Source organism: Homo sapiens, chromosome 2, assembly GCF_000001405.40.
Source record: "Homo sapiens chromosome 2, GRCh38.p14 Primary Assembly".
Taxonomy (NCBI): Eukaryota; Metazoa; Chordata; class Mammalia; order Primates; family Hominidae; genus Homo; species Homo sapiens.
The window spans coordinates 85,875,172-85,901,585 of NC_000002.12; the positions used below are offsets into that span (position 1 = coordinate 85,875,172).

The 26,414-nt window shown below is 45.9% G+C and overlaps 1 protein-coding gene and 1 long non-coding RNA gene across 17 annotated transcripts in view, besides 7 other annotated features; one reads left to right on the top strand and one right to left on the bottom strand.

The window, feature by feature from the left end:
• The window catches only part of ST3GAL5 (ST3 beta-galactoside alpha-2,3-sialyltransferase 5), a 51,915-nt gene extending 38,052 nt beyond the window's left edge, over nucleotides 1-13,863 (bottom strand). For 6 of the 16 annotated variants that reach the window (NM_003896.4, NM_001354226.2, NM_001354233.2 and 3 more), the window contains exon 1: nucleotides 13,653-13,819. In NM_003896.4, coding sequence (NP_003887.3) covers nucleotides 13,653-13,734 — 82 coding nt within the window. In that variant the 5' untranslated portion in view covers nucleotides 13,735-13,819. Of the gene's footprint in view, nucleotides 1-243; nucleotides 375-12,235; nucleotides 12,379-13,436; nucleotides 13,577-13,652 lie in introns of those variants that run through there. The other 10 variants (XR_007084237.1, XR_007084231.1, NM_001363847.1 and 7 more) reach the window with 4 other exon arrangements.
• Nucleotides 12,401-12,520: an enhancer, noted in NCBI's record as "active region_16144". NCBI's record gives its function as "activates an Ori minimal core promoter by ATAC-STARR-seq in GM12878 lymphoblastoid cells {active_cell/tissue: GM12878}" and the evidence as "EXISTENCE:reporter gene assay evidence [ECO:0000049][PMID:35858748]".
• Nucleotides 12,531-12,660: an enhancer, noted in NCBI's record as "active region_16145". NCBI's record gives its function as "activates an Ori minimal core promoter by ATAC-STARR-seq in GM12878 lymphoblastoid cells {active_cell/tissue: GM12878}" and the evidence as "EXISTENCE:reporter gene assay evidence [ECO:0000049][PMID:35858748]".
• Nucleotides 12,999-13,499: an enhancer, noted in NCBI's record as "H3K4me1 hESC enhancer chr2:86115293-86115793 (GRCh37/hg19 assembly coordinates)". NCBI's record gives its function as "activates a minimal SCP1, AML or CMV promoter by ChIP-STARR-seq in primed H9 embryonic stem cells {active_cell/tissue: H9 hESC(primed)}" and the evidence as "EXISTENCE:reporter gene assay evidence [ECO:0000049][PMID:30033119]".
• Nucleotides 12,999-13,560: a biological region, named in NCBI's record as "H3K4me1 hESC enhancer GRCh37_chr2:86115293-86115793".
• Nucleotides 13,191-13,270: an enhancer, noted in NCBI's record as "active region_16146". NCBI's record gives its function as "activates an Ori minimal core promoter by ATAC-STARR-seq in GM12878 lymphoblastoid cells {active_cell/tissue: GM12878}" and the evidence as "EXISTENCE:reporter gene assay evidence [ECO:0000049][PMID:35858748]".
• Nucleotides 13,441-13,560: a silencer, noted in NCBI's record as "silent region_11708". NCBI's record gives its function as "represses an Ori minimal core promoter by ATAC-STARR-seq in GM12878 lymphoblastoid cells {active_cell/tissue: GM12878}" and the evidence as "EXISTENCE:reporter gene assay evidence [ECO:0000049][PMID:35858748]".
• Nucleotides 13,601-14,220: a silencer, noted in NCBI's record as "silent region_11709". NCBI's record gives its function as "represses an Ori minimal core promoter by ATAC-STARR-seq in GM12878 lymphoblastoid cells {active_cell/tissue: GM12878}" and the evidence as "EXISTENCE:reporter gene assay evidence [ECO:0000049][PMID:35858748]".
• ST3GAL5-AS1 (ST3GAL5 antisense RNA 1) lies at nucleotides 14,109-17,081 on the top strand. Its single transcript, NR_110569.1, has 3 exons — nucleotides 14,109-14,632; nucleotides 16,005-16,034; nucleotides 16,520-17,081. It is a non-coding gene; the product is annotated as an ST3GAL5 antisense RNA 1 (long non-coding RNA).

Genomic DNA, 26,414 nt, shown 5'->3' on the forward strand with positions numbered 1-26,414 from the left:
GCCTCAGCCTCCCGTAGCTAGGACGATAGGTGTATACCACCACACCCGGCTACATTTTTAATTTTTTTGTAGAGATAGAGTCTAAGCTTTATTGCCCAGGCTGGTCTCAAACCCCTGGCCCCAAGCAATCCTCCCACCTCAGCCTCCCAAAGTACTGGAATTTGCAGGCGTGAGTTACCACACTTGCCTGATTTTTTTTTTTTTTTTTTTTAAAGAGAAGAGCAAAGAGATGAAATACTCAACTGTTTGGCTATTTGATAACAGCCAAATCACTCAATCTCTTTGAGGATGTTTGGTAATCTGTAGAAAGCAGGGTTGGGTGACAACATTTCTATGGCTCCTTCCTCCAATAAAATGTTACGATTCTCACTCATCTACATTTCAAAGGAAGAACAAGAAACATGAAGCTTAGCTTACTCAATTGATGCTAATATGTTATAGCCATCTAGGGGAGAAAACCAGAAAGCTGGAATAAGTGGGAGAAGTGGATTTAAGACAATAAAAATGAAAGAGAGTGGGGGAACACTGGGGCGGAGAAAACAGAGTGGAGGTTGAGAGACAGGAAATTCTGGGAAGGGGGAACTGGAAGGAAAAGACAGGAACAGGAAGAGAAGCCCCAGCACTGTTCTTCTTTCTGTTTCCCGGGGCTAGGGAGTTTCAGAGGAACTCCTCTTTGCGAATTCTTATAAGCAGACCTACCCACAAAGCGATTACAGGCAGCACCTCAGAGATCCTCCTCTGATTCCAAGACCTGCCGCCTGCTCCCCTCCCCACAGGAGAGGTTCCAGCCAGAAGCGTAGAAGGTTGCCCTAAACTAGGTTTTAAAAGTGGGGCTGAGGAAGGACCCTCTTCATCATGCAGGACATAATAAATTCGTGATTTCTGCCAAAACATACAACCTGAGTTCTGTCAAGGTAGTGGAGAGACCCATCTTTAACTGGCAAATGCTGAGGATTTGGGTAAAATGCACCCTCCAAGAGGTCCACCAAAGCACCCTGGTGAAGTGCACTGATCTCTGGGCATAAACACCCTCAAATGTGTTTAAATATATTTTAAAACTTATATTCTGCCTGGGAAGCCTCTTTCAGGGGCAGCTGTAGGGCTAGTCTAAACCAGGTAAATGTATGGGTCAGAGTTGGTTGACCAGATGCCTGAGGACAGCTACAAGGACTGCAGTCCCCTAAAATAGCAGTGGCAATGGGTGGTTGGGGGCTGGAAGGAACCTTCAGGTTCAGCAAAGCCACACTGTTAAGTGTTCCTCCACCCTGTTTTCTTTTCTTTTTCTTTTTCCTTTTTTTTTTTTTTTTTTTGAGACGGAGTCTCACTCTGTTGCCCAGGCTGCAGTGAGGTGGCATGATCTCGGCGCCGCAACCTCCGCCTCCCAGGTTTCAAGGGATTCTCCTGCCTCAACCTCCAGAGTAGCTGGGATTATAGGTGCGTGCCACCGCACCCAGCTAATTTTTGTATTTTTAGTAGAGACGGGGTTTCACCTTGTTGGCCAGGCTGGTCTTGAACTCCTGACCTCAAGTGATCTGCCCACCTCAGCCTCCCAAAGTGCTGGGAGGTGTGAGCCACCACGCCCGACCCTCTACACTGTTTCCTGATGGTACCAGAGGAGACAAAACAAATTCTGCAAGAAAGCTCAGTGCTGTGGGCGTGACTTCTATAATGACCACGGAAAGGGCAGACACTGAAAAGCCCTATGGTGGCTTCTGATGCTAGACTGGCCACAGCACCCAAGACCTGGAGGCTGCAGTTTTTAAACTTTATCTTGAAATAATTTCAAACTTAAAGTTGCAAAAACAGCATAAAGAATTTCCATCTGCCCTTTAACCAGACTCCCCAGTTGTTACCATTTTACCACATTTGTGCTGCCATTCCATTGGTATACTGTGTGCATATTTATTGGACCATTTGAAACTTGAAGACATGATGACACCTACCCCTAAATATTTTAGTATTTCCTAAAAACAAAGACATCCCCTTTAAACAACCACAGCATAATCATAATTAGGAAATTAACACTGATTCAGTACTGTTACCTAAATACCTTATATAAATTTCTCCATTAGTCCCAGTGATGGCCTTAGAACAAAAATAGCAAGAATATATGTCATTTTCTTATTTTCTGTTACAGGGTCCAGTCCAGGATCATTTGGCATTCACTGTTATGTTCCTTTAGCCTTCTTTAATCTGAAACCGTTCCTTTATCTTTCATGACCTTGGCATTTTTGAAAAGTACAGCCAATTATTTTGTAGAAAGTCCCTCAACTGGAGTTTGTCTAATGTTTCTTCATGATTAGATTCAACTTATGCATTTTTGGCTGGAATATCACAGAAGTGATCCTGTGCGCTTCTCAAAGCACTTCTCAGGAGGCATGTGATGTTGATTTGATTAAGGGTTAAGGTGGTAGATGCCAGGTTCTTCCACTGTCGAGTTGACTATTTTCCCTTCGTAATTAATAAGTGACTTGATGGGAGATACTTACAGACTAAGTAAATATCCTGTTTATCATCAAATCTACTTGTTTCAGTATCCACCAGTAGATTCTTGCAGGAGAAGGATATGACTCTGTGAGGTCAAACAAATTCAAACCTCAGGAATGAAACTAGGGCTGGATAAAACAGTAGGTGATGAACAAAAATTAACATGTAAGACTCCTATCAGACTTAATTTCCCCATTTATGTTCACTCTTAGCTATTAAGAAAAAAAAATAACCTTTAGATTTTCTTTTGAGAATACAGTATATATGAGTTGGGAGTATGGTAATTTCTCTATTGGTGCTTCCATGTCTGCTAGAAACTTAGCCCTTCAATTCACAAAGTGTCCAGTGGCAGCAAGAAGAGACACCCAGGTCCAGAGAGCTAACAGCTGGAGCCATCCTCACACCAATGCCTGATTTTCCAAGGGCAACGCTGCACGGCTCAGCTTGGTGATTCCCAGCTCACTGTGGCACAATGTAGGCAGCTACATTTAAAAACAAGAACTCTACTCTCAACTGATGACCAGGTTTAGAAACTCTGATTTGCCTTACCCAAGAAATATTTTAAAAACCCTGTTAGGACACAAGTAGAAATTTCAGAAAATAATATAAGAACAGAACATTTAAAAATCACTGTTATCTTACAACCCAGTGATACCCACTGTTAACATTCTGGTCTGTATTCTGTCAGCCTCTGCTCTTTGCATAGATATACTATCATGACGGGGGTCATGCTATCTACACCAGCCTCATTCAAGGTGCATTCCACTCGGGAATGAAGTCCTACAAAAAAGAACAGATTTTTCTCAATTCTCCCAGGAATGATCTATAACTAGAATCATTCCAGAAGCAAGGAGAGAAGTTAATTCATAACATACAATGGTCGCCTGACAGTATTGGGACAAAAGTCTCTTGTAGAACCTCAGTTGAGAAGGGCTGGTCTGTATGGTTGTCTAATTTTCTTTGTTTACCTAACAATCCTTTAAATAAAAATTTCATAAGCTTCTTCCATACACCAAGCACTGGGAATATAAAAATAAATAAGACACAGCCGCTTTCCTCTTTAAATGAATAATCCAGCTAGGAAAACTGAAAATGCCCAAATACTCGAAATACCAAATAACGCTGTGATAGAGGAGCTACAGTAGACCTTGTGCATCCTGGGCAGGAAACCACAGGCTCCATCAGAGGAAATCAGGGAGGCCTCCCTGAGGAGGTTATGTATGAATGGGTCCTCGAAGAATGACTAAGACTCTGGAGACAGGACAGAGAGAGGAGGCGGCATTCCAGACAGAAGGAAGGTAATGCCAAGACACACAGAGAGAGGTGTGTGCTCGGGCCAGATTACAGGGGCCTGGGGAACAGTGGGCAGAAGACGCAGCTAGGAAGGAACCAGGCTCTCTTATGTTACACAAAGGAGGATGGCCCTAAGTGGTTCTTAAGTAGGAGAGTGGTGAGCTCATACTGGCATGAAAGAGGCCAAGGGACAGGGTAATCAAAAGACCACTGAGATCAGTGCAGTGAGGGGTGACGGAGGAGCTGAGCCACAGCCAGAAAGGCCGGAAGGTGGCCAACCAAGAGATGTGGAGGAGGAAGGTGCCACAGGACTTGGTGCCCAAGCCAGGAGGGGCTATTATTATAGCACTGGGCCAGCCAAGACCCATCCTGTGTAACAAATTCAGGTGGCTAAAGAGGGGAGTCGCAGGGGAGAAGGTATGCAAGAAGGCTTCAAATGTTACTGTTTCTCAAAATGATTTAATGGTGAAGGTAGGGGTGTCCCTCAAAGAGAAAGAGGCCAGAGGGAGCAAGACATGACACTAGGGGTAAACTGAAGAAATTGCCCCTAGAACTGCCCCTCCCCCTGGGGTCCCATCAAGCTTTTACATAATAGCTTTCCTGTGGTGGGCCTGTGTGACAGCACATTATACACGCAGAATCTGCTATGAGAGAACAACTCTGTGGCAACCCCATGAATACCCCAAATAAGGCAAAATCTAGAAGCTAAATGTTTAATGGAACATTTCCCTCTTAACCCAAAGGAAATACAAGTAGTTGGGCTGAATAAATAATACTTAACAGGAGAAAGTGAAAGTCAGCAGAACTGACAGTTAACAAAAAGCAATTCTGGGACCCAGTACCCAAAGGCTCCAACATATGGGCCTTTTACTAAACTTGAGCAGAATGGGGAACACAGGGTATCAGATGATGGGAAAGTTTGTGGGCAATTTCTAAAACAATGAAGATCCCACTGCCGCAGAAAGCATAAGGTGAAAGTTCTTAAGGTTTTGGACTATAAAAGTGATATCACCAAATAGGATCTTAGAAATATTCTTCAGGGAACAGCTGTCCAGGTGGATGGGAAGGGAAGATAGGGAATTTGCTAGGCAGTTTTTTCCAATAACCCATGGTATTCAGTAATCCTGTATGTCTTATAGGAACAGAAGAACCAGAGGAGTCATAGAAAGCCCCAAATCAGAAAATAATGACCCTAGAAAAGGAACTGGAGGGACAGTGACTGGGACAGTGACAACCCGGAGTTTGGCAGGACCTGGCAATTTAGGGTTGGAAGGAGAGGGAGGAATTGTACAGGAGACAAAAGGAGATTTTGTTTGGGCTGCTTAAAACTCAGAACAAGTTACATTTCCATTTCTAAAACCAACAACATATATTCAGGTCTAACTAAAACATATAATTTTCTTTTACACCCCACTCACATCTCTTTTACTGTTGGCTCTGAAATTCTGGGAAACCAGCATTTGGGCAGGCTCCCCAACAGACATAACAGTTTTTAATTATACAACCCATTTTTGATCAAATAGGAGTATGTGCCTGGGGAGATAGCAACAAGAAACACACGCACTGTCCCTCCTTCAAAAAGCTCTCATAGGCTGGGCATGGTGGCTCATGCCTGTAATCCCAGCACTTTGGGAGGCTGAGGTGGGTGGATCACCTTAGGTCAGGAGTTCAAGACCAGCCTGACCAACATGGCAAAACCCTGTCTCTACTAAAAATACAAAAATTAGCTGGGCTTGGTGGCGTGCACCTGTAGTCCCAGCTACTCGGGAGGCTGAGACAGGAGAACCAGTTGCTCCTGGGAGGCTGAGGTTGCAGTGAGCCAAGATGGTGCCACTGCACTCCAGCCTGGGTGACAGACCAAGAATCTGTCTAAAAAGAAAAAAAAAAACTCTCATAATCTCATTTTAAAAAATAGACAAGTAGGTCTATTTTAACTTATCTATGTTGGACATGCGGGCAGAGTGTCAGATGATGTTTCAGATTTGGGGTGTATGTGTGATATGGTTTGGCTCTGTCCCCACCCAAATCTCAACTTGAATTGTATCTCCCAGAATTCCCACGTGTTGTGGGAGGGACCCAGGGGAGGTAATTGAATCACGGGGGCTGGTCTTTCCTGTGCTATTCTCATACTGAATAAGTCTCATGAGATCTGATGCATTTATCAGGGGTTTCTGCTTTTTCTGCTTCCTCATTCTCTCTTGCTGCTGCCATGTAAGAAGTGCCTTTTGCCCTCTACCATGATTGTGAGACCTTCCCCAGACATGTGGAACTGTAAATCCAATTAAACCTCTTTCTTGTATAAATTGCCCAGTCTTGGGTATGTCTTTATCAGCAGTGTGAAAATGGACTAATACAGTAAATTGGTACCAGTAGATGGGGCGTAGCTGAAAAGATACCTGAAAATCTGGAAGCAACTTTAAAACTGTGTAACAGGCAGAGATTGGAACAGTTTGAAGGGCTCAGAAAAAGAAAGGAAAATGTGGGAAAGTTTGGAATTTTCTGGAGGCTTGTTGAATGACTTTGCCCAAAATGCTGATAGTAGCATGGACAATAAATATCCAGGTTGAGGTGGTCTCAGATGGAGATGAGGAACTTGTTGGGAACTGAAGCAAAGGTGACTCTTTTATGTTTTAGCAAAGAGACTGGCAGCATTTTGCCCCTGCCGTAGAAATGTGTGGAACTTTGAAGTTGAGAGAGATGATTTAGGGTATCTGGTGGAAGAAATTTCTAAGCAGGAAAGCAGTCAAGAGGTGACGTGGGTACTGTTAAAGGCATTCAGTTTTAAAAGGGGAACAGAGCATAAAAGTTGAGAAAATTTGCAGCCTGACTATGTGACAGAAAAGGAAACCCCATTTTCTGGGGAGAAATTCAAGCCAGCTGCAGAAATTTGCATAAGTAGCAAGGAGACTAATGTTAATCCCCAAGACCCTGGGGAAAATGTCTCCAGGCAATGTGAGAGACCTTCACAGCAGTCCCTCCCATCACAGGCCTGGAGGCCCAGGAGGAAAAAGTGGTTTCATGGGCTAGGCCCAGAGTCCCCATGCTGTGTGCAGCCTAGGGACTTAGTGCCCTGTGTCCCAGCCACTCCAGCCGTGGCTGAAAGGGGCCAATGTACAGCTTGGGCTGTGGCTTCAGAGGGTGGAAGCCCCAAGCCTTGGCAGCCTAGTCAAGAACTGAGGTTTGGGAACCTCTGCCTAGATTTCAGAAGATGTATGGAAACACCTGGATGCCCAGGCAAAAGTTTGCTGCAGGGGCGGGGACCTCATGGAGAACCTCTGTTAGGGCAGTGCAGAAGGGAAATGTGGGGTCAGAGCAGCCACACAGAGTCCCTACTGGGGCACTACCTAGTGGAGCTGTGAGAAGAGGGCCACCGTCCTCCAGACCCCAGAATGGTAGATCCACTGACAGCTTGTACCGTGTGCCTGGAAAAGCTGTAGACACTCAACACCAGCCCATGAAAGTGGCTAGGAGGGAGGGCGTAACCTGCAAAGCCACAGGGGCAGAGCTGCCCAAGACCATGGAAACTTACCTCTTGTATCAGCATGACCTGGATGAGAGACATGGAGTCAAAGGAGATCATTTTGGAACTTTAAGATTTGGGCCAGGTGTAGTAGCTCACACCTGTAATCCTAGCACTTTGGGAGGCCGAGGTGGATCACTTGAGGTCAGGAGTTCAAGACCAGCCTGGCCAACATGGTGAAACCCCATCTCTACTAAAAATACAAAAAAAAATTAGCCGGATGTGGTGGCACACACCTGTAATCCCAGCTACTTGGGAGACTGAGGCAGGAGAATCACTTGAACCCAGGAGGCGGAGGTTGCAGTGAGCTGAGATCGCACGCCATTGCACTCCAGCCTGTGCAACGGAGAGAGACTCTGTCTCAAAAAAAAAAAAAAATTGACTGCTCCACTGGATTTCGGACTTGCATGGTGCCTGTAGCCCCTTTGTTTTGGCCAATTTCTCCCATTTGGAATGGCTATCCCAATGCCTGTACCCCTATTGTATCTAACTTGCTTTTGATTTTATAGGCCCATAGGCAGAAGGGACTTGGCTTGTCTCAGATGAGACTTTGGTCGGTGGACTTTTGGGTTAATGCTGAAATGAGCTAAGACTTTGGGTGAGTGTTGAGAAGGCACGATTGGTTTTGAAATGAGAGGACATGAGATTTGGAGGGGCCAGGGGAGGAATGCTATGATTTGGCTCTGTCTCCACCCAAATCTCAACTTGAATTGTGTCTCCCAGAATTCCCACATGTTGTGGGAGGGACCCGGGGGAGGTAATTGAATCATGGGGGCCGGTCTTTCCCATGTTATTCTCATGATAGTGAATAAGTCTCATGAGATCTGATGGGTTTATCAGGGGTTTCTGCTTTTGCTTCTTCTTCCTTCTCTCTTGCCTCCACCATGCAAGAAGTGCCTTTTGCCCTCCACCATGATTGTGAGACCTTCCCCAGCCACGTGGAACTGTAAGTCCAATTAAACCTCTTTCTTTTGTAAATTGCCCAGTCTGGGGTATCTCTTTATCAGCAGTGTGAAAACGGACTAATACAATGTGTGTCTTAGGAAAGGGTTCCCAGAGGAAAGAACGTTTCTGCCCAGGCCTGAATAGGAACTGGAATGGGATGGGAGAGGCAGGTGCCTCGGGAGCAGGGACAGTGGGGACGGATGGCAGAATGTCAAGTGCAGCGTGCCTAAAGAACGCCAAGTGCAGTGTGCCTAAAGGGTCTACCCAGGAGGGCACAGCACCCTGAGACGCTAGAAAAGCAAGCAGTCCATGCCACAGGGGGCTGCAATTTTACTCTAAGAATAAAAGGGAGCAACCAGTGGTGAGGTGGTTTAAAGTGGAATTGGATTTTGGAGACCTCTCTCGAGGCTGGACTGGAGATGGGGAAGTCCTCTCACGAAGCAGGACCAGTTAAGAGGCTGCTGTGGAGCTCCAGGGAAGTGATGACGGCACTGCCCAGGAGCCCACTCACCTGACAGGATGGAGCCATCTCTCAGGCCCCTAAGATCACCCTCGCCAATTTCACCAGTAGCTGTTCCAAGGGGCAGGCTGGGAATGCACTACAGACCACAAAGACATGGATACGACAGCCTCATTTACCACCTCTAGGCCAGACTGCCTGAGTCTGAACCCAGCTCTGCCCCCTATGGCTTCTTAACCTCTGTTCCTCAATACCCTCCTTTATAAAATGGGGATGACAATGGTACCAAACACTGAGGGCTGTGGTGAACATTACATTAGTTAGTATATATAACATGTCTACAATAGATGAGAATAAAGTGAGTAGGAAAGCACTTATTTCTTTTTGTCATATCTATGTTTTGTAGCATGTGGGTTCATTTGTGGGGGCAGGGAGTGAATTTACTGTGAAAAGCAGAATATAAAGCAGCTCATTAATAATTTACATAGTGTGCAGCTGTGTTATTAGGTGCATAAGAGTTTAGAAATGGAAACTTTTTGGGAAATTGAAACTTTGATCTACCTGTTTCTTTTCAATTTTTAAAATGTAGTTACTAGAAAATATAAAATTGGACAAGTGGCTCAGGTTATGTTTCCACTGGACAGTGGTGATCTAGACGAAGGATGAGCAAGAAGCCCACATCAGTCCCTAAGTCCTGGGTGACAACAACTGGACTGCAGAAAGTGACAAGCAAAGAGAGGAGAGTATCAGAGGCCATACTTGTCCTACTCTTTTCTGCTAGAGTATAGATTAGAGATGAGAATAAGATGTTTATGAAAAGCAAAAAGGGGGTGAAGAACAGGGCAGAAGAGGATAAAAACACAGAGGCTGAGGAGGAGAGAGGAAGGCTGAGGAAGAAACGACACGTGTAACAGAAAAACTGCCCCTGCTCAGAACTCAATACACATAAGCTCTGAATTATGAAAAAGAGATGGTCTTAAAAACAGCCTTAACAGTCAAAAGACAGAAGTACTATTCCACCAAAGCAGACCTTTCTAATCTGTTATTTTTATCAAACTGATCCTATCCTATCACATGATACTTAACTGTTATAATCCCAGATGTTAAAAATTGAAGGAAAAAAGGAAAGAATTCATGGGTACAGGACTTGGTGAACCATCCAATAACTTAATCCTGAACATTTTTCCATGCTGTAATAACGGGACAACAAAAATGTCTTACATGGCCTCAAAAACCCAAATAAGAAATGGGCTTTTCCTCTAGGTCACGGATAATTTTTAGCAGAAATGCAGAGAAAGCAGGCCACAGAAGTAGACATAAAGTATAGGAAGTGCAGTATTATGAGAGCTCAGAGAGGAGTGGTTTGTTTGCAGCAACAAGGGTGGGAGTTGAGACCAAGCCAGGCAGTTTCACCAGAGAAACACTTCCCTTAGGTCAGAGGCTCTTGGGGAGCTAAGGGTTCCTCACAGCTCACCTTGCCCTGCTGCCTGACCCACTGGGAGACTGGGGCCTATAGGTGACCACACTTGCTGGCACCATACACAGCCAGGTAGAAACTGATCCTGACTGCCAGAAGGACTCCTGATTCCTTCCCCAGTCTCCTTAGAACTGTGGCCCTCATCAGCGAACAGTGAGGAACTACCAGTGTGATCATTTCAAAACTGGAATAAGGTCGGGCGCGGTGGCTCACGCCTGTAATCCCAGCACTTTGGGAGGCCGAGGTGGGCGGATCACGAGGTCAGGAAATCGAGACCATCCTGGCTAACACAGTGAAACCCTGTCTCTACTAAAAATACAAAAAATTAGCCGGGCGAGGTGGCAGGCGCCTGTAGTCCCAGCTACTCGGGAAGCTGAGGCAGAATGGCGTGAACCCCGGAGGCGGAGCCTGCAGTGAACTGAGATCGTGCCACTGCACTCCAGCCTGGGCGACGGCGAGACTCTGTCTCAAAAAAAAAAAAAAGAAAAAAAAAACTGGAGTAAAATAGCTGTGCCTGTGGCTCCTAAAACAGCAATACCATGCCTAGGTATGGACCTATCAGAAATGCAGACACATATGTACCAAAGCCAGACACTAGAGTGGTCACAGCGGCACTTTCTGTAACAGACAAATGCTGCAAACTGCCCAAATGTCCACTAACAATGCGTGACTATGTGGTATATTCACCCAATGGCCCCTATCACCAATGAGAGTGAACATGCTTCAACCATGGGCAGCATCATGAGTGATTCTCAGAAACTCAATGCTTAAGGAAAGAAGGCATACACTAGCCAGCCAGGCGCAATTGCTCACGCCTGTAATCTCAGCGCTTTGGGAGGGCAATGTGGGAGAATAGTTTGAGGCTAGGAGTTGCCAGAGACCAGCCTGGACAACACAGTGGGAGCCGTCTCTACAAAATAAAATAAAACAAATTAGCTGGGTCTGGTGGTGTGTGCCCGTAGTCTCAGCTACTGAGGAGGCTAAGGCAGGAGGATTGCTTGACTCCAGGAGTTCAAGGCTGATCCTGGGGGAGGCCGCGACTGGAGTACAACACAAGGGGAGCTCCCAGGGTCCCGGCCAGTTCTGTTTGTTGATCTAAGTGCTGAGTGCATGGGCATGTTCAGTCTGGAAAATTCATTGAGCAGGACACTTATGGTATGTCTACTTTCCTAGTATCTATGCTATACTTAAAAAAAAAAGAGGAAAAAAAAGTTTTGTCTGTCTGGTGTCCAGGTAAGACAAGCCTGGTAGTGTCCTTGAAGCCTCAAAGCTGATTTTTCTCCTGCTCCCTTACGCATTTCACTTGCTTCTCCTCTGCACGTGTGCTTAAGCTGGCTGTCTCCCGGGCGAGCCTGCGTGTCACCGTCATATTTATGGTTTCCTCCCACACCAGGCCTGTGATTCACCCCACTTTGGATGCCTTTGCTAACTTATGCCACCCACACTGATCCAGCCCTTGCTTTTCCTTCCTCAGCAGTTAGGCAGCTTGGAGCATCATTAACATGTGTATATTCCCAGTTGTTTTACTTCTGCCAGAGCTTCCCAGCAGACTAAAACCACGGAGCATGCCCTTCGGGAGTGATCTCAGTCCTCCATCGTGTCCACAGGCAGTGCGGATTAAATCGCTCCTCAGGAGCCAGGAGGGTGTGGAAGGTGAGCTTTATCCCTTCTCCCAGAAACTGCTGGCTCCAAGACACCCACCTCAGCCCTCCAGGACCTGGAATGGACTCCCACAGAGGACTCACCAACCTCTTTTCATTCATTGCCTCCCGAGGCCAACCTGCTAGATAAATTCCCCTCATTGCTGCAAATAGTCCCACAAGGCAAGCAGGGAAGAACTAGAGGAGCAAACCAAAGAACAAAGAGTGTGTTCTTATTCTGCCACGGATATATCCTTAACGTTCATCACCAATCTATTTTGATAACATGCAACAATTTACAATTTATGCCAAAATTATAAGAACTGTCCAAATAGTCGTAAATGTGAGCTCTCAAAATTTCTGCCTGTCAGCCCTCTCTCTTCCATGAGCCCCTTCATGCCTTCCTATCTCACCTGTTTCTTTTCTCGCCTAGACGAAGAAATGCTGATCATAACCCAGAATATCCAAGGGTCATTTCATCTTACAAAAACAGCAGCATCCATATAACAGGCACATGGGTAAAAGACTCAAGACATGCTGGTTATATGCTCTCGCAGTTCGTATGAATCTCTCCTTCTCCAAGTGACAGCTGGAATTCAGGTGCTTCTAGGCTCTGTTACTAGCAATGTTAGACACTCCTCGAAGCTGTCAAGCTCTCAGGATTACACAAGTGAAACCACAACCTGTCCTGACTGTATTCAAGTCTGTGCCCCTTCATGCAGCAGAAATGGATTCCTCTTCCACAGTTTCAGCAGCTGTATCCTTCCGTGGAAAAGGATTAGCAGCCATAAGCCCGGGGGAGGGCAGCTAAACACCAGAGGGCAGGAGATGAGTCTCCTTCCTCTCTGTGACACCCAGCACGGCCCTGCCACGAGGAGCAGGCAACCACTGGTGCCAGATGAAGCGCAGCACATAAAACCATTTTCCCCTTCAAATGAACGATGCCTAATTAAGCAAAAGCCGCATGCATGACTTAAGACATGAGGATATAAAATTCGTCTTCCGAGTCAGCTAGAGATTCTGCAGGATCCTCTACCCTCGTAAACGTATTTTTTTATGATTAGAAAAACCCGGGGCCTGGAAGGGACCTCGGCCATCGGCAGGGTAAGCTTCTCAGGAGAGACCATGAGCCCGAGCCCCACAGGGGGATCAGTGTCTGCCAAGGTCACCAAGCGGGTGTGAGGCAAGGGCAGGGCTCCTCGGGGATGCTCTCGGAAAACCCTGCGTTACTTACACACGCAAGGCGTACAATGAATGCACACCCGCGTCAAGCCACGGCTTACAATTCAGAAGAAATCAAAAGGTCGCCAAAACCTGTCTTCTCCGCAAGGCTGGCTGCAGAGAGGGTGCAGGGAAGGTCACCGGCAAATTTCTACCAGCGGCCCCACATCACGCCTCCCCGATGGATGCAGAGAGAGGTTTCAGGAGCTGCTAGTAACCTTGCAGGGGGTTCCCTAAGCCCATCCCAGGAAAACGAGTTAACTCGGCTCTGCTAACTCCGAAGCTTCCAGCAATGAATTAAATCCCGAGCTGCAGCGGAAAGCGGCGGGGAAAGGGCCACTGCGGCGGGACCCGACACCCGGCGGTCCGCCCCACCCTCTACCGCGTACACACCTGCGTGGGACCCCCCGCCCGGTCCACACGGCCCGGGACCACGACCCTCCGCCCGCGCCCCAGCCGGGCTCGCCTGAGGGTGTCGTGCCCTGGGCGCTGCCCGCGGGGTTCGAGGCGGAAACGCCGCGCCCAGCCGGCCCGGGAAGAGACAAGTCGCCGCCGCAGCCCCCAGCCCGCGGGCCCCCGCGACGCCGAGGAGGGGGCTGCGCCACGTACCTCGGCCGGCAGGTGCCGCCGCTGCCTCGGTCCGCGGCTGCAGGGGACGCCGCTCCGCGCAGCCCGCCGCCTTCGTCCGCATACTAATGAGGGGGCGCCGGCCGGCCGCCAGCCCGGTACCCCGCGCCCCCACCCGCCCCCAGCGCCGCTCTCGCGCCCATTCAGCTGGGGGCCGCCGCTCCCCCGCTCAGATGCGGAGGAGGGGCGCGTGGGCGGGGTCTGACGTCACGAGGACGCGGACGGCCAATCGGAGAGCACGATGCCTCCGCGGCGGCCCCCGCCCCCGGGCGCGCGGCCAGTCAGCCCTGCGGTGCGGTGGGCATTGCCAGAGCAGGGCGCCCCCTGCAGGGACGCACCCGGGGCGGGGGCCAGGCTGGGGCGAGCCCCCCTTGGTTCTGGAGAGGAAATGACATACAGTTTGTGAAAGCATAAATATTCGTGAAAATAAGAAAATTCAGGAAGGAAACAAAGCTTAAGGCAGTGATTGATAGGTTATTTCTTGGACACAGCTGAACGTATACTGTGCGCCTGCAACTTTCCGGTGGTTTCGGACCGGACTTCAGTGAAGCCAGTGAAGTCGGTCGACTTGCAGAACTTCCTTTCAGAGGGGCGTACACAGCACCGCGGCCGTGTGCCTGTGATCTCCTTCTGAGTTTGAAAAAGAAGATCCTAGACACCGAGCCAAATATGTTTGCATAAACCGGGAGACTTGTGGCTCTATTTTGTAACAGCTTGGCGCAGGGCAGCTGGTTTGGAGATGTCTCTGTTCTTCCCTTGGTGGGGGTGCCGGAAAAAATGTGCTGCCTGGGCGATCGAGGTTGGGGCAAAAGCGTTGCAAAGGAAAAGGTGGGAGGACTCTACTTTCACATTTCCCAAAAGAGTTTTACCATAAGACTATTTCTGGATTGTTCTAACGTGAGGATATTGGGAGCATTTTGAAAATACTGGAGGAAAAGCTGTCACTGGGCGATTTAAATCCGGTAAGTTGGCCAAGGCAGAGCAGCTGCTGGGGTCAGCGACAGCTGACCCTTGCAGCTGAGTATCTTGCCCTCTTAATCTTGGAGATCAGCCCAAGGCCCATGTGTTACAGGAAAGGGGTCCCGATCTAGACCCCAAGAGAGGGTTCTTCGATCTCACGCAAGAAACAATTCAGAGTAAGTCCACAGTGCAAAGTAAAAGCAAGTTTATTAAGAAAGTAAAGTGGTGGCTGGGCACAGTGGCTCACGCGTAATCCCAGCACTTTGGGAGGCTGAGACGGACAGATCACCTGATGTCAGGAGTTCAAGACCAGCTGGCCAACATGGCAAAACCCCGTCTCTACTAGAAATACAAATATTGGCCGGGCGTGGTGGCGCAAGCCTGTTGTCTCAGCTACTCACGGGGCTGAGGCAGGAGAATCGCTTGAACCCGGGAGGCAGAGGCTACAGTGAGCCGAGATCGCCACTGCACTCCAGCAGGGCATTCCTGAAAATAAGAGGAGGGACATATCCAACTAAGGTACAATGCTTGTAATGCTTGTATATATGGGCAGATGTCTTCTGCTACAAGGGTTTGTGATAAAGGATTAATTTTCCCTAATTACTATATTTTGCAATAATCAATATTATTATTTTTAAAGCAAAATTAGGAATGCCTTTGTTCTCCAGATATCGGGATATCTGGACTCTCTCAAGTCTGGGTCTGTTTAGTAAGCATTATTAATTTGTTCTCTTAACCATAAACACCTAGAGGCTAGGAATGCCTAGCTTTCAGGAAATGCAGCCTAGCAAGTCCCAGCCTCATTTTTCTAGCCCTCACTCAAAATGGAGGCGCTCTGGTTTGAACACTTCTGACACATGTGCTTGATGCAACACTCTTTACCTCTCTTTGTCTCCCCTGTCCTTCCCCTTCTCTTCCAGATTCCCCTTGTCGGCAAAGCCAGGCGCTGATAGCGTTATGGCTGCCATGAGAGTCAGCAGTATCCCAGCTTCCAAGGATGGGTGTAAGGTGGGGGTGAGGAAGAAAAGGAACTTGAAGCTGCCTCCTGTCCCAGAATCACAAGACATCTGTTAAGCCCTTACTACCTCATTCACTCCACTCACATTAGGTTGACCCACTTGGGCAGCAAGACAAGCAGGCCTGCAAACTTCCTTTTCTTCATCAGCCACAGAGACATCCTCAGCTATTATTCTGGATTAAGGCAGAGATCTCCAAACAGCAGACTAAGATCAGCCTCTAGATCTCAAAGCCTTACTGTTATCTCTCCAAGTCAGTGGCTGATCTCAGAGAAGCTTCTGAATAGTGACTAGCAAAGAGTCACTCAGGCTACTTACAAATCCAGGACAGCAGCGTTTTTTTTTTTTTCTTTTTTAGAGACAGATTCACTCTGTCATCCAAGCTGGAGTGCAGTGGCACGATCTTGGCTCACTGCAACCTCCACCTCCTGGGCTCAAGCAATCCTCCTACCTCAGCCTCCCAAGTAGCTGGAACTACAGGTACCCAACACCATGCCAGGCTAATTTCTAATTTTTTGTAGAGACAGCAGTCTCCCTCTGTTGCCCAGGCTGGCCTCAAACTCCTAGGCTCAAGTGTTCCTCCTGCCTGGGCCTCCCAAAGTGCTGGGATCACAGATGTGAGCCACTGCATGCAGCCAAAACCAGTTATTTTTTGGCTGGGCATGGTGGCTCGCACCTGTGATCCCAGCACTTTGGGAAGCCGAGGTGGGCAGATTACTTGAGGTCAGGAGTTTGAGACCAGCCTGGACAACATGGTGAAACCCTGTCTCTGCTAAAAGTACAAAAAATTAGCTGGGCATGGTGGCATGTGCCTGTAATCCCAGCTACTCAGGAGGCTGAGGCAGGAAAATTGCTTGAACCCAGGAGGCAGAGGTTGCAGTGAGCCGAGATCACGCTAGTGCACTCTAGCCTGGGTGACAGAGCGAAACTCTGTCTAAAAAAAAGAAGTTATTTTTTATCAATATATATTAACATGCAATGGATTTATTATTATTATTATTTTATTTATTTATTTTTTACTTGAGACAGAGTCTTGCTCTGCCACCCAGGCTGGAGTGCAATGGTACAATCATGGCTCACTGCAACCTCCACCTCCCAGGTTCAGGTGATTCTCCTGCCTTAGCCTCCAGAAGTAGCTGGGATTACAGGCACGTACCACCATGCCCAGCTAATATTTGTATTTTTAGTACAGATGGGGTTTCACCATGTTGGCCAGGCTGGTCAAGAACTCCGGACCTCAGGTGATCCACCCTCCTCAGCCTCCCAAAGTGCTGGGATTATAGGTGTGAACCACAATGCCCAGCCAGATTTATTATTTTAATGACTTAATAAATATTTTAAAATTTAAATATTTAAATTAAATTAAATATTTAAAAATTTCTCAGTTTTAATTTTTAATTTGGCAAATATCAAGAGAAAGACCATGTCAAAAAGATTCTTTGGGATCCTCAGTAATTTCTAGGTGTGTAAATTGATCCTGAGACCAGAGTTTGAGACTTACTGGTCTCAGCCACCCAGATAGCCCCATTGCCCCATCCTCCTTGCCACTAGGAATGGTTCATGGGTAGCCACAGGAACCACACTGATCCAATCAGAGGAAGTCTCAGGAATTTATTGGATGCTGGGGGAGAGATGCTTTCATGTTCTGCTAGACAAGAACTAGGCAGTAAGTAGCCTCAGAAGCTGTTGGTAAGACAGACATCTTGGACTACAAGAAGAGCTTATTTTAGGAAGAAAGTAATGCTGTGGGAAGCAGAAGACCACGGTTAGAAAGAAACCATTTCCTTTATGACATTTTTGAGTCACTAAATCAAACCAGTCCTGAAGTCCATCTTGCCTCCGTACATTTCACCTGTATGAGATAGTAAGTTCCTCTGTGGTTTCAACTAGCCAACCCCAGATGCCCCAACTGATTCGCTATGTACCTACTTATGCAACACAAGTTGCAATGATGAAATGAGGCTGGAAGGCAGAGAAGGGTCCAGGAGGAAAGTACCTAGCTCAGGCAAATGGGATCTTCAGCGGCATATGATCGTAAGCAGCAAGATTATAGCAGATTTTTACTTCTTATTTTTATTTTTGCTTTTCTGTATTTCCCATATTGGTCAACATGCATATGTATTGCTTTTACACTGAGGAAAAATTAGAACCTATATTATTACTTTTTTTGATAGTGCAATGACTGGCAGCGCAATATTAGAGAACAGGTTGGGGAATGGGATATGGCAATAGAACTCTTAGGCTAGAACTGCTAGCAGGGAAGAAAGAAGATTTGCAAGGGATGCAGATGGGCCCCAAAACCAAACTTACTTTCATTTACAGCTTTGCCAAGAGCCAACCTCAGAGATTCCAGGGGATGAACAAGAATCCCCAAAGGTTAAGAAATCATTAATTATGCCTCAGTCTAATTGGCTGGAATATTTGCAGGGAGAAAAATGTGGCCAACGTGAAGATCATATGTCAATACTGGAAAAGACTTAGGATATAATATTAAGTGAAAAAAATTAAAAAGGCAACACATCGTATGCAAACATCTATCATGTGGCCAAAAACTGGAAGAGAACTTGGAAAAAGAAAATAGTTGTGTTAGGGTGGTGGGATCACAAGTAATCTTTCTTCCTTTTTAACAAATCTGTTTTAATGTTGTTATAATGTTGTTTTTTGCAATAAGTAAAAATGTAGGGAGTCATTGGTTCAAATTACTGAGGTCTCAAAGAGGTCTCTCCAAACGGCCTGTTTCTTTTTGCCTGCCAAATGGCCCTCATCCCATGCCATGACAGAAGCTGTGCCTTCCCTGAGGGCCCAGTGTCTTTGAAACTGTTAGGGGTGATGCTGATGTGACTGATTTGTAGGTGGCCAGAAGGAAAGGCGGGAAGAAAGATGTTGGTGGCAGCCAAGACCGAGGAAGTCTGTGAGGCAGGAGGGGTGAGGGGTCCCTTGCCCTGTGACATAACCTTGTCGTGTTGGAGTTTCAGGCCCAGGTTACTTACTGAAGCATTGTCTTTTTATGTTGGACTTCTGTCTGGTCCCCCTGAGACGTTGTCTCTTCCGCAGGCCCTCGGGGGCTGGAGCACAGCTGTAGCCAACAGAACACAGGCTCTGTCTGCTGCCCTGAAGCACAAAGGAAGTTGGTCTCTTGAGGTTTTTCTAGGAATGTTTTCCTGTGAGCAATCACAGGAGAAGCGGGAGTAAAACAAACAAAGGAGGGAAAAAGATGACACAAAAACATCATGGGAAGGCTGGCGGTTGGCAGAGGAGGCTCAGATTGAGGAAACAATCCCTCATGGAATGAATTCTTCTGTTAGTGGAGTGATGCATATTGACAGATCCAGGCACATCTTCAGGCTGCCCTTCTGTCTGTCCCTCACCCATATATTCATTCTACAAATATTTGCTGAGAGCCTATTATGTGTGAGGCATCATGCTAAGTGCATAACATAAATTACTTCATTTTATCTTCACAGTGTCCCTTTAAGGTAGGGTCTCTTATCCCCATATCTTACCCAAGGAACCCGAGGCTTAGAGAAACTTAAGGAGATAAAACAACCTGCCCAGGGTCACAAAGTCAGGATTCAAACCCAGGATGTCAGAGTCCAGAGCCTGTTACCAGTAGAGGGTCCTGACAAATCAGTAGTCGTCCAGGTTCTTGGCGTTTTGAACAAAGAATTGGACAAAATGCACAAACAAAGCAACAAAAGAATGAAGGAAAGAAAGCGCAGATTTATTGAAATGAAAGTATACTCCACAGAGTAGGAATGGCCCGAGTGAATGGTTCAAGAGGGCTGGTTACAGAATTTTCTGGGGTTTAAATACCCTCTAGAGGTTTCCCACTGGTTACTTGGTTATACCCTATGTAAACAAAGGAGTGAACCGTGACCAGTCTGATTGGTTGCGGGAGGGGACCAGTCAGAGGTACTTTCCATTTTTCATCTGTGATGCAGTGCAAAGGGAGTGGCCTCTGATCCTTTTGTTACTTGGGTATGGAGAGGTGGGGTTTTCCATCTGATTCAATTTTAGGAAGTCAGTGCAAATCAGCCTTAGGTTCCCTGCCTCCAGACCTTATTCTCTTGCCTCAAGCCTACCTAAGTGATAGGGTTTGGCTGTGTCCCCACCCAAACCTCATCTTGAATTGTAGCTCCCATAATTCCTACATGTTGTGGGAGGGACCCAGTGGGAGATAATTAAATCATGGGGGCAGTTTCCTCCAGACTGTTCTTGTGGTAGTGAAGAAGTCTCATGTGATCTGATGGTTTTATAAGGGGAAACCCCTTTCGCTCAGTTCTCATTCTCTCTTGTCTGCCGCCATGTAAGATGTGCCTTTCACCTTCCACTGTGATTGTGAGGCCTCCCCGCCACATGGAACTGTGAGTCCATTAAACCTCTTTTTCTTTATAAATTACCCAGTCATGGGTATGTCTTTATCAGCAGCATGAAAACAGACTAATACACTAAGACATAGTCCTCACCCTGAAGGATCAAATGGTCTAACAGAAGAGAAAGACACTTCTAACAAACAAACAAACAAAAACCAGTAAAACAACAAGATAAGAGAAAAACTAACAAGGAGCCAAAGGCAGGGTGCAGTGGCTCACTCTTGCAATCTCAGCCCTTTGGGAGGCCAAGGTGGGAGGATCGCTTGACCCTGAGTTTGAGACTAGCCTGGGTAATATAGTGAGACCTCATCTCTACAAAAAAATTTAAAAAATTAGCTGGATGTGGTAGCTTGCACATGTGGTCCCTGCTACTTGGGAGGCTGAGGCAGGAGGGTTGCTTGAGGAGTTTGAGGCTGCAGTGAGCCATGATCAAACCACTGCACTCTAGCCTGGGTGACAGAGTGAGACCCTGTCCTCCCACCCCCAAAAAAAGAGCCCTAGGAGCATCAAGGGGGCACAGCAGAATCCGTCTTGGAGCTCAAGGCCACCTCTTAAAGGGGTGAGACTGGTTTTGAAGGATAAGGTAGGTATACTGATAGGCATATTAGTTTCAGGCTATACTTATTTTATTTCTGTGTAATACATTACCACAAATTAGATTAAAACGACACATCTTTATTATCTCACAGTTTAAGTCAGGTACAGTATAGCTGGATTCTCCACCCAGGGGCTCACATGACTGAAATTGTTACCAAAATAGGGCTTTGGTCTAAGTCCCACTACTCCCAGCACAGAAAGCCAATCACTGAGACAATAAGTATTGTCAGTGAAGAAGGCTTTAGTCTGTTGCTACAGCCAAGGAGATAGGAGAACAGTTTCAAATCTATTTCCCTGACCTACTAAAATTAGGGGTTTAGGCCAGGTGCAGTGGCTCATGCCTGTAATCCCCGCACTTTGAGAGGCCGAGGCAGGCAGATCACCTGAGGTCAGAAGTTCAAGACCAGCCTGGCCAATGTGGCAAAACCCTGTCTCTACTAAAAATACAAAAATTAGCTGGGCATGATGGCATGTGCCTTTAGTCTCAGCTACTTAGGAGGCTGAGGCAGGAGAATCGCTTGAACCCAGGAGGTGGAGGTTTCAGTGAGCCGAGATTGTGCCATTGCGCTCCAGCCTGAGTGACAAGAGCGAAATTCCATTTCAAAATAAATAAATAGATAAAAATAAATAAATAAATAAAATTAGGGGTTTAAATACCAAGGAAGAAATGTAACCACGGCTGTGAAAATAGGAATTAGGAAGGAGTAAGGAAGAGGAGTTGGTCAACAGTAAGCAAGTGGTCTTCTGGCAGATGAGGAGTCTGGCATCTCATTGTCCAGATTCAGTGATATGTAAGTTTCTGTTCCTTGATACTACCTGGAAGGCCCGATGGTTTCCAGAGAAAGGAACCCAGATAACAAAAATGTAATTTCTCAAGTTTCAAGACTTGAGGGGTCAATTTCCATGTTTATTCAAAAGAAACAATAAATATCAGTTCTATGGGACAATTGGGCCAGTTTTCAAAATCAAGATGGTGGGGCTGGGTACAGTGGCTCACGCCTGTAATCCCAGCACTTTTGGAGGTGGAGGCGGGCCAATAGCTTGAGCCCAGGAGTTCGAGACCAGCCTGGACAACATGGTGAGACCCCGTCTCTACAAAAAATACAAAAATTAACCAGGCATGGTGACACATGCCTGGTCCAGCTACTTGGAAGGCTGAGGTGGGTGGATCACCTGAGACCTGGAGGTCAAGGCTACAGTGATCCATGCTCATGCCACTGCACTCCAGCCTAGGTGACAGAGCAAGACCCCTTTCTCAAAGGAAAAAAAGAAATCAATCAAGGTGGTGGTCAGGGCTGCATTTCCTATCTGGGCTCAGTGTCCTCATCCAAGATCATTGCTTTGTGGCAGAATTTATTTCCTTACAGTTATAATAGGATTGAGGTCCTCATTTTCTTGCTAGCTGTTGGCCAGAGACCCTCCCCCCTCAGCTCCTAGGGTGGCCCCATAGGAAGTTCCTTGCCATGTGGTCCCATGGGAAGTTCGTGGTGTGGACACTTGCTTTCTTCCAGGGCAGCCAGAGCACAGCTCTATCAATTTCTCTTCTGCTGCCATTCAGACAAAACTCTCTGCTTTTAAAAGGCCCATGTGATTAGGGCAGGCCTGCCTAGATCATCTCCTTATTTTAAGGTCAACAGATTTGGGACCTTAATTACATCCGCAAAAGCTCTCCGCAGCAACACTTAGATTCATGTTTGAATGACTGAAAGTGTGCATATCCCGAGAGCCAGGAATATTGGGAGCTATCTTAGAATTCTGCCCACCATAATATGATTTAGCAAATGGAGAAGATGAGGAAGGGTTGTCTAGGAAGAAGAAATAGGATATGCAAAGGATTCTGGGGAACTACTGGAAAATGATGCTAGAAAAGTGAGTGCCATGTCTCTAGCAACATGGCAAAGCAGATTCTGGAGAAATCTGCCAACTCAAAACCCCTAAGATACTGGGGAAACTATTAAAACATGTTTTGTAGCAAGGCTGGGCTGGCAGGAATGGGAGGAAACTCCTCTGAGGTCGAACAATGAGAAAGTGTTAATCCCGAGAGGTGAGCAGGAGCCAGCACTTGCCCTGAAGCCACCTGCTAATACTGGCCAAGCAGCAGGCTGGAGATAGGAGACAAAATCTAGACTGGAGCAGAGGGTGAAATCAGATTGGAAATCCTTATGCACACCAGAGCCCTCAAAGGGTGGAAATTTCAGCAAGGGTGGTTGGACTTTTCTCCCCAAAGGAAACAAAGGAATGCTTGCCATAGATAGTCAATTTGCCTTAAGATACCTCATTTTAGCTCAGAGTGGAACCAAAACAAAGACAAAAGTTTCCCCTAAGAATTCCTAACCAAAAGCCCACATTCATGCATTTGGGACAGGAATTCATACCACCTTTGTGAGTGAAAACCTTCAAGCCAAACATTATTTTAAAGTGGTCCCAGGTTGGTAATTCCCTTAGACACTTGTAAAAAGCAAATCACCTGTAGCAGCATGCTCTCTAGACCCAAGACTAAGACAGTTCCTCCAGAATTCCAAGGAATTTGAATTTGCAGTTTAAGACATCACTTAACTGCAAAAATAATAAAATGGCAAAAATTGGCAAAATAATAAAATGAAGATTCAGATAATGAATTAGAAGACTCAAAACATAAAATAAGGTTGTTCAGTATGTTTCTAGAAATAAAAGAAGGTATTGAAAGTATGAGTAGGAAGTAAGAGACTACCAACAATAATTCAGTAGGCCAGTTAAACAATAAAAGAGAGAGATAAAGATACAATTAGTGAATTGAAAGATGGACACAAAGAAATTACCCAAAATGCAACACTGACAGAAAAAAGGTTACAGGAAATGCAAATGAGACTAAGGGATGTGGAGGATAGAATAAACCAAAAGTCTAGCACATGCCTACTCAGATTTCCAGAAATAAAAAATAGAGAAAATGGTTCAGAGGCAATAACTAAAGAAATAATGATGGAATTTTTTCCAGAATCAAAAATACACAACCTTTAGATGTAAGAACTCCCCAAAATCAATAAGCAGGAAAATTAACAGAAATATTAGAAACATCACAGTGAAACTGCTGATCACTAGAGACAAAAAGGAGATCTTAAAAGAAGCCACAGAGAAAAGACAAATTATCTACAGGGAAATAGAAATTATGCTGAAAATTGCCAGAAGACAGGGAGTGTCTGCAAAGTTCTAGGAGAAGATAACTGTCAACCCTGAATTGTAGAAACAAGGAAATCTTTCAAGATCAAGGGCAAACTAAAGGGGTGTGAGGCAATAGTAAGTGGGGACAATAGGTAGTAGGGACTATGGCAGCTGGAGAGCTCCATCTAAAGGGGACAGCCCCTGCTCAACTTCTGCCAATTGCTGGCTTATAGGAGTCAAACACTCTGTGTCGCTAGATCTTTAGATTTTTCAAGAAAGGTCAGAAATCTGGATTTTTAAAAGTTGAATTATCTCAATTTTTAAATGTTAACAACAAATTTTAAAATGTATTTAATTGCAGGGCAGACAAATACTGTGTGGGTGAAACGAAACTTCTATGTGGAGGGCCTAAAGGTCTGATAAAAGTGGTAATGTGGAAATGGTAACATGGTAGAGTATGCAAGATCAACTGGAGAGGGGACCAGGCCTCTGCTGCTTCTTCAAACACTAGCTTTTCTGGCCAGTTTTTGTTTTAGTGTTTTCTTAAACTCAGGGATGCACTTACATTCTCAATTGGGCCTGTCAGGTGCTTAGAGGCAGGAGCTTCATTTTCTCTGAACATTCCATGGAAAAGGGCATAGTGCCTGGGTTTTAGTGGGTAGGGCAAACAACCTGGTAGAACTTAGTTATTTCTTCTTCCTCCCCCAGTCTCATTCTCAGACAATTGGAGATGTTGTTTTGTCCCTTCACCCCTTCAGGAGATCTACGCCCTAGGGATTTGGGTTTCCCTTGACTGAGGTATGGTGGGATGGAGCAGTACTAGAGGGGTGGGGCTTCCTGGAGAGGCCAGGACCTGTGTCCAGTTCCCCTGAAGTGCATGATAGAGATGTCCATGAATACCCAGGTACTGACCACTAAACGCCACAGCTGTGCAGGAAGTTGGAAGTCTTATGGTCCAGACTGTGGCTGGGCTATGCATGGTGGTGGCATCTCTGTGGGCCCCAGGGCAGCTTATGTCAAGTGCCAGACTAATGGTAAGTAGGAACAAGAGTACCAACCACAGACCAAGGAGCAGGCCCCTGACCTATTTTTCTGACTCTGTATAAGAAACAGAGGCTAAAATAAGCCATCTGGTCAACCAGGTAGAACCAGATTTAGAACAAGAGCACTGTTACTGCCAATCCCACGGGATTGCTTCTAAGCAATCATAATGCCAATCACATTGCAAAATGTTTGTGGATTGCAGAAGCTCCACCAAGAATGGAGACTGAAGCAAATGGGAGAAGGGAGATAGTGGAAATGGGAGAACTAATCAAGCCTTCAGTCATCAGGGACACATCATCTCTGCTTATCCCAGAGAACATCATCCTTTGTGGCCATTTTTCTAGGGTCAACAAGAAAAAAATCATACCTTTTCATTTTCATATACACTTAGAACAGTAAATGTATTCACAGAAATATAAGAGGCATACTAGAAAGTTACAAAACCATAAATGTATAGCTCAATAAATTTTCTCTAAGTGAACATACCATGTAGCCACCTAGGCCAAGAAACAGAACATTGCCTGTCTTCCTGAGCCTGCCTCATGGCTCTTTACGGTCACCACCCTCTCAGTGTTTTCCTGCTGTGGCAGCCACTCCTCTGACTTCCGTTACATAGGTTAGGTTAGCCTGATTTTGAACTTTGTATAAAAGAAATCCTATAGTGTGGACTCTCTGTGTCTGCTTCCTTTCACTCAAAATGGCACCTGTAAGGTTCATCCATGTTGCTGCAGGTAGCTTAAATGTGTTTATTTTCATTGCTGCAGAGCATGAATAGATCACAGTATTTTTTCAATCCCCTTGGTGGATATTTGAATTGTTTCAAGTTGGAGGCTATAGCAGATAATGCTGCTATGAATGTTCTTGCTCAAATCTTTTGGTAGCCTTGTGGGGTTTGTTTGTTTGTTTGTTTTGTCTGTTTGTTTGTTTTCGAGACGGAGTTTCACTCTTGTTGCCCAGGCTGGAGTGCAATGATGCTATCTCGGCTCACTGCAACCTTCGCCTCCTGGGTTCAAGCAATTCTCCTGCCTCAGCCTCCCGAGTAACTGGGATTACAGGCATGTGCCACCATGCCTGGCTAATTTTGTATTTTTAGTAGAGACAGGGTTTCTCCATGTTGGTCAGGCTGGTCTTGAACTCCTGACCTCAGGTGATCCACCTGCCTTGGCCTCCCAGCCTTGTGCTTTTTTTAATCTTTAAGAAAAAAAAAATCTAAAAAGAGCAGTGGAACAACTAGGAGTTCTGTGATCATCTCACCATATTACTCACGATCATAACATTGTACTGAACTAAGATGGTCTGAAAGTACATTATCATGGTTCCTGGTATTTTCCTTGTACTCGGTACAGCTGCATGTAGACACTTAGAAACCCAGAATGTCAGAGCTGGAAGAAGTCTTATATATCATCCTACCCAGAATTTCCCAAATTTCATCTTTACATACATCCTCTTTGTGATTTTTGTCATATCCTCATACCACCCATACTATTATATTTTTCTTTAAATTGTCTTTTTTCATTTAAATATCTGCTTTAGCTTTATCCTAAGCAATAACAGCTGTGTACTCATAGGTTTGATATGCAAGGTATATTCTTTTTATTACCCATTAAAATTAACAT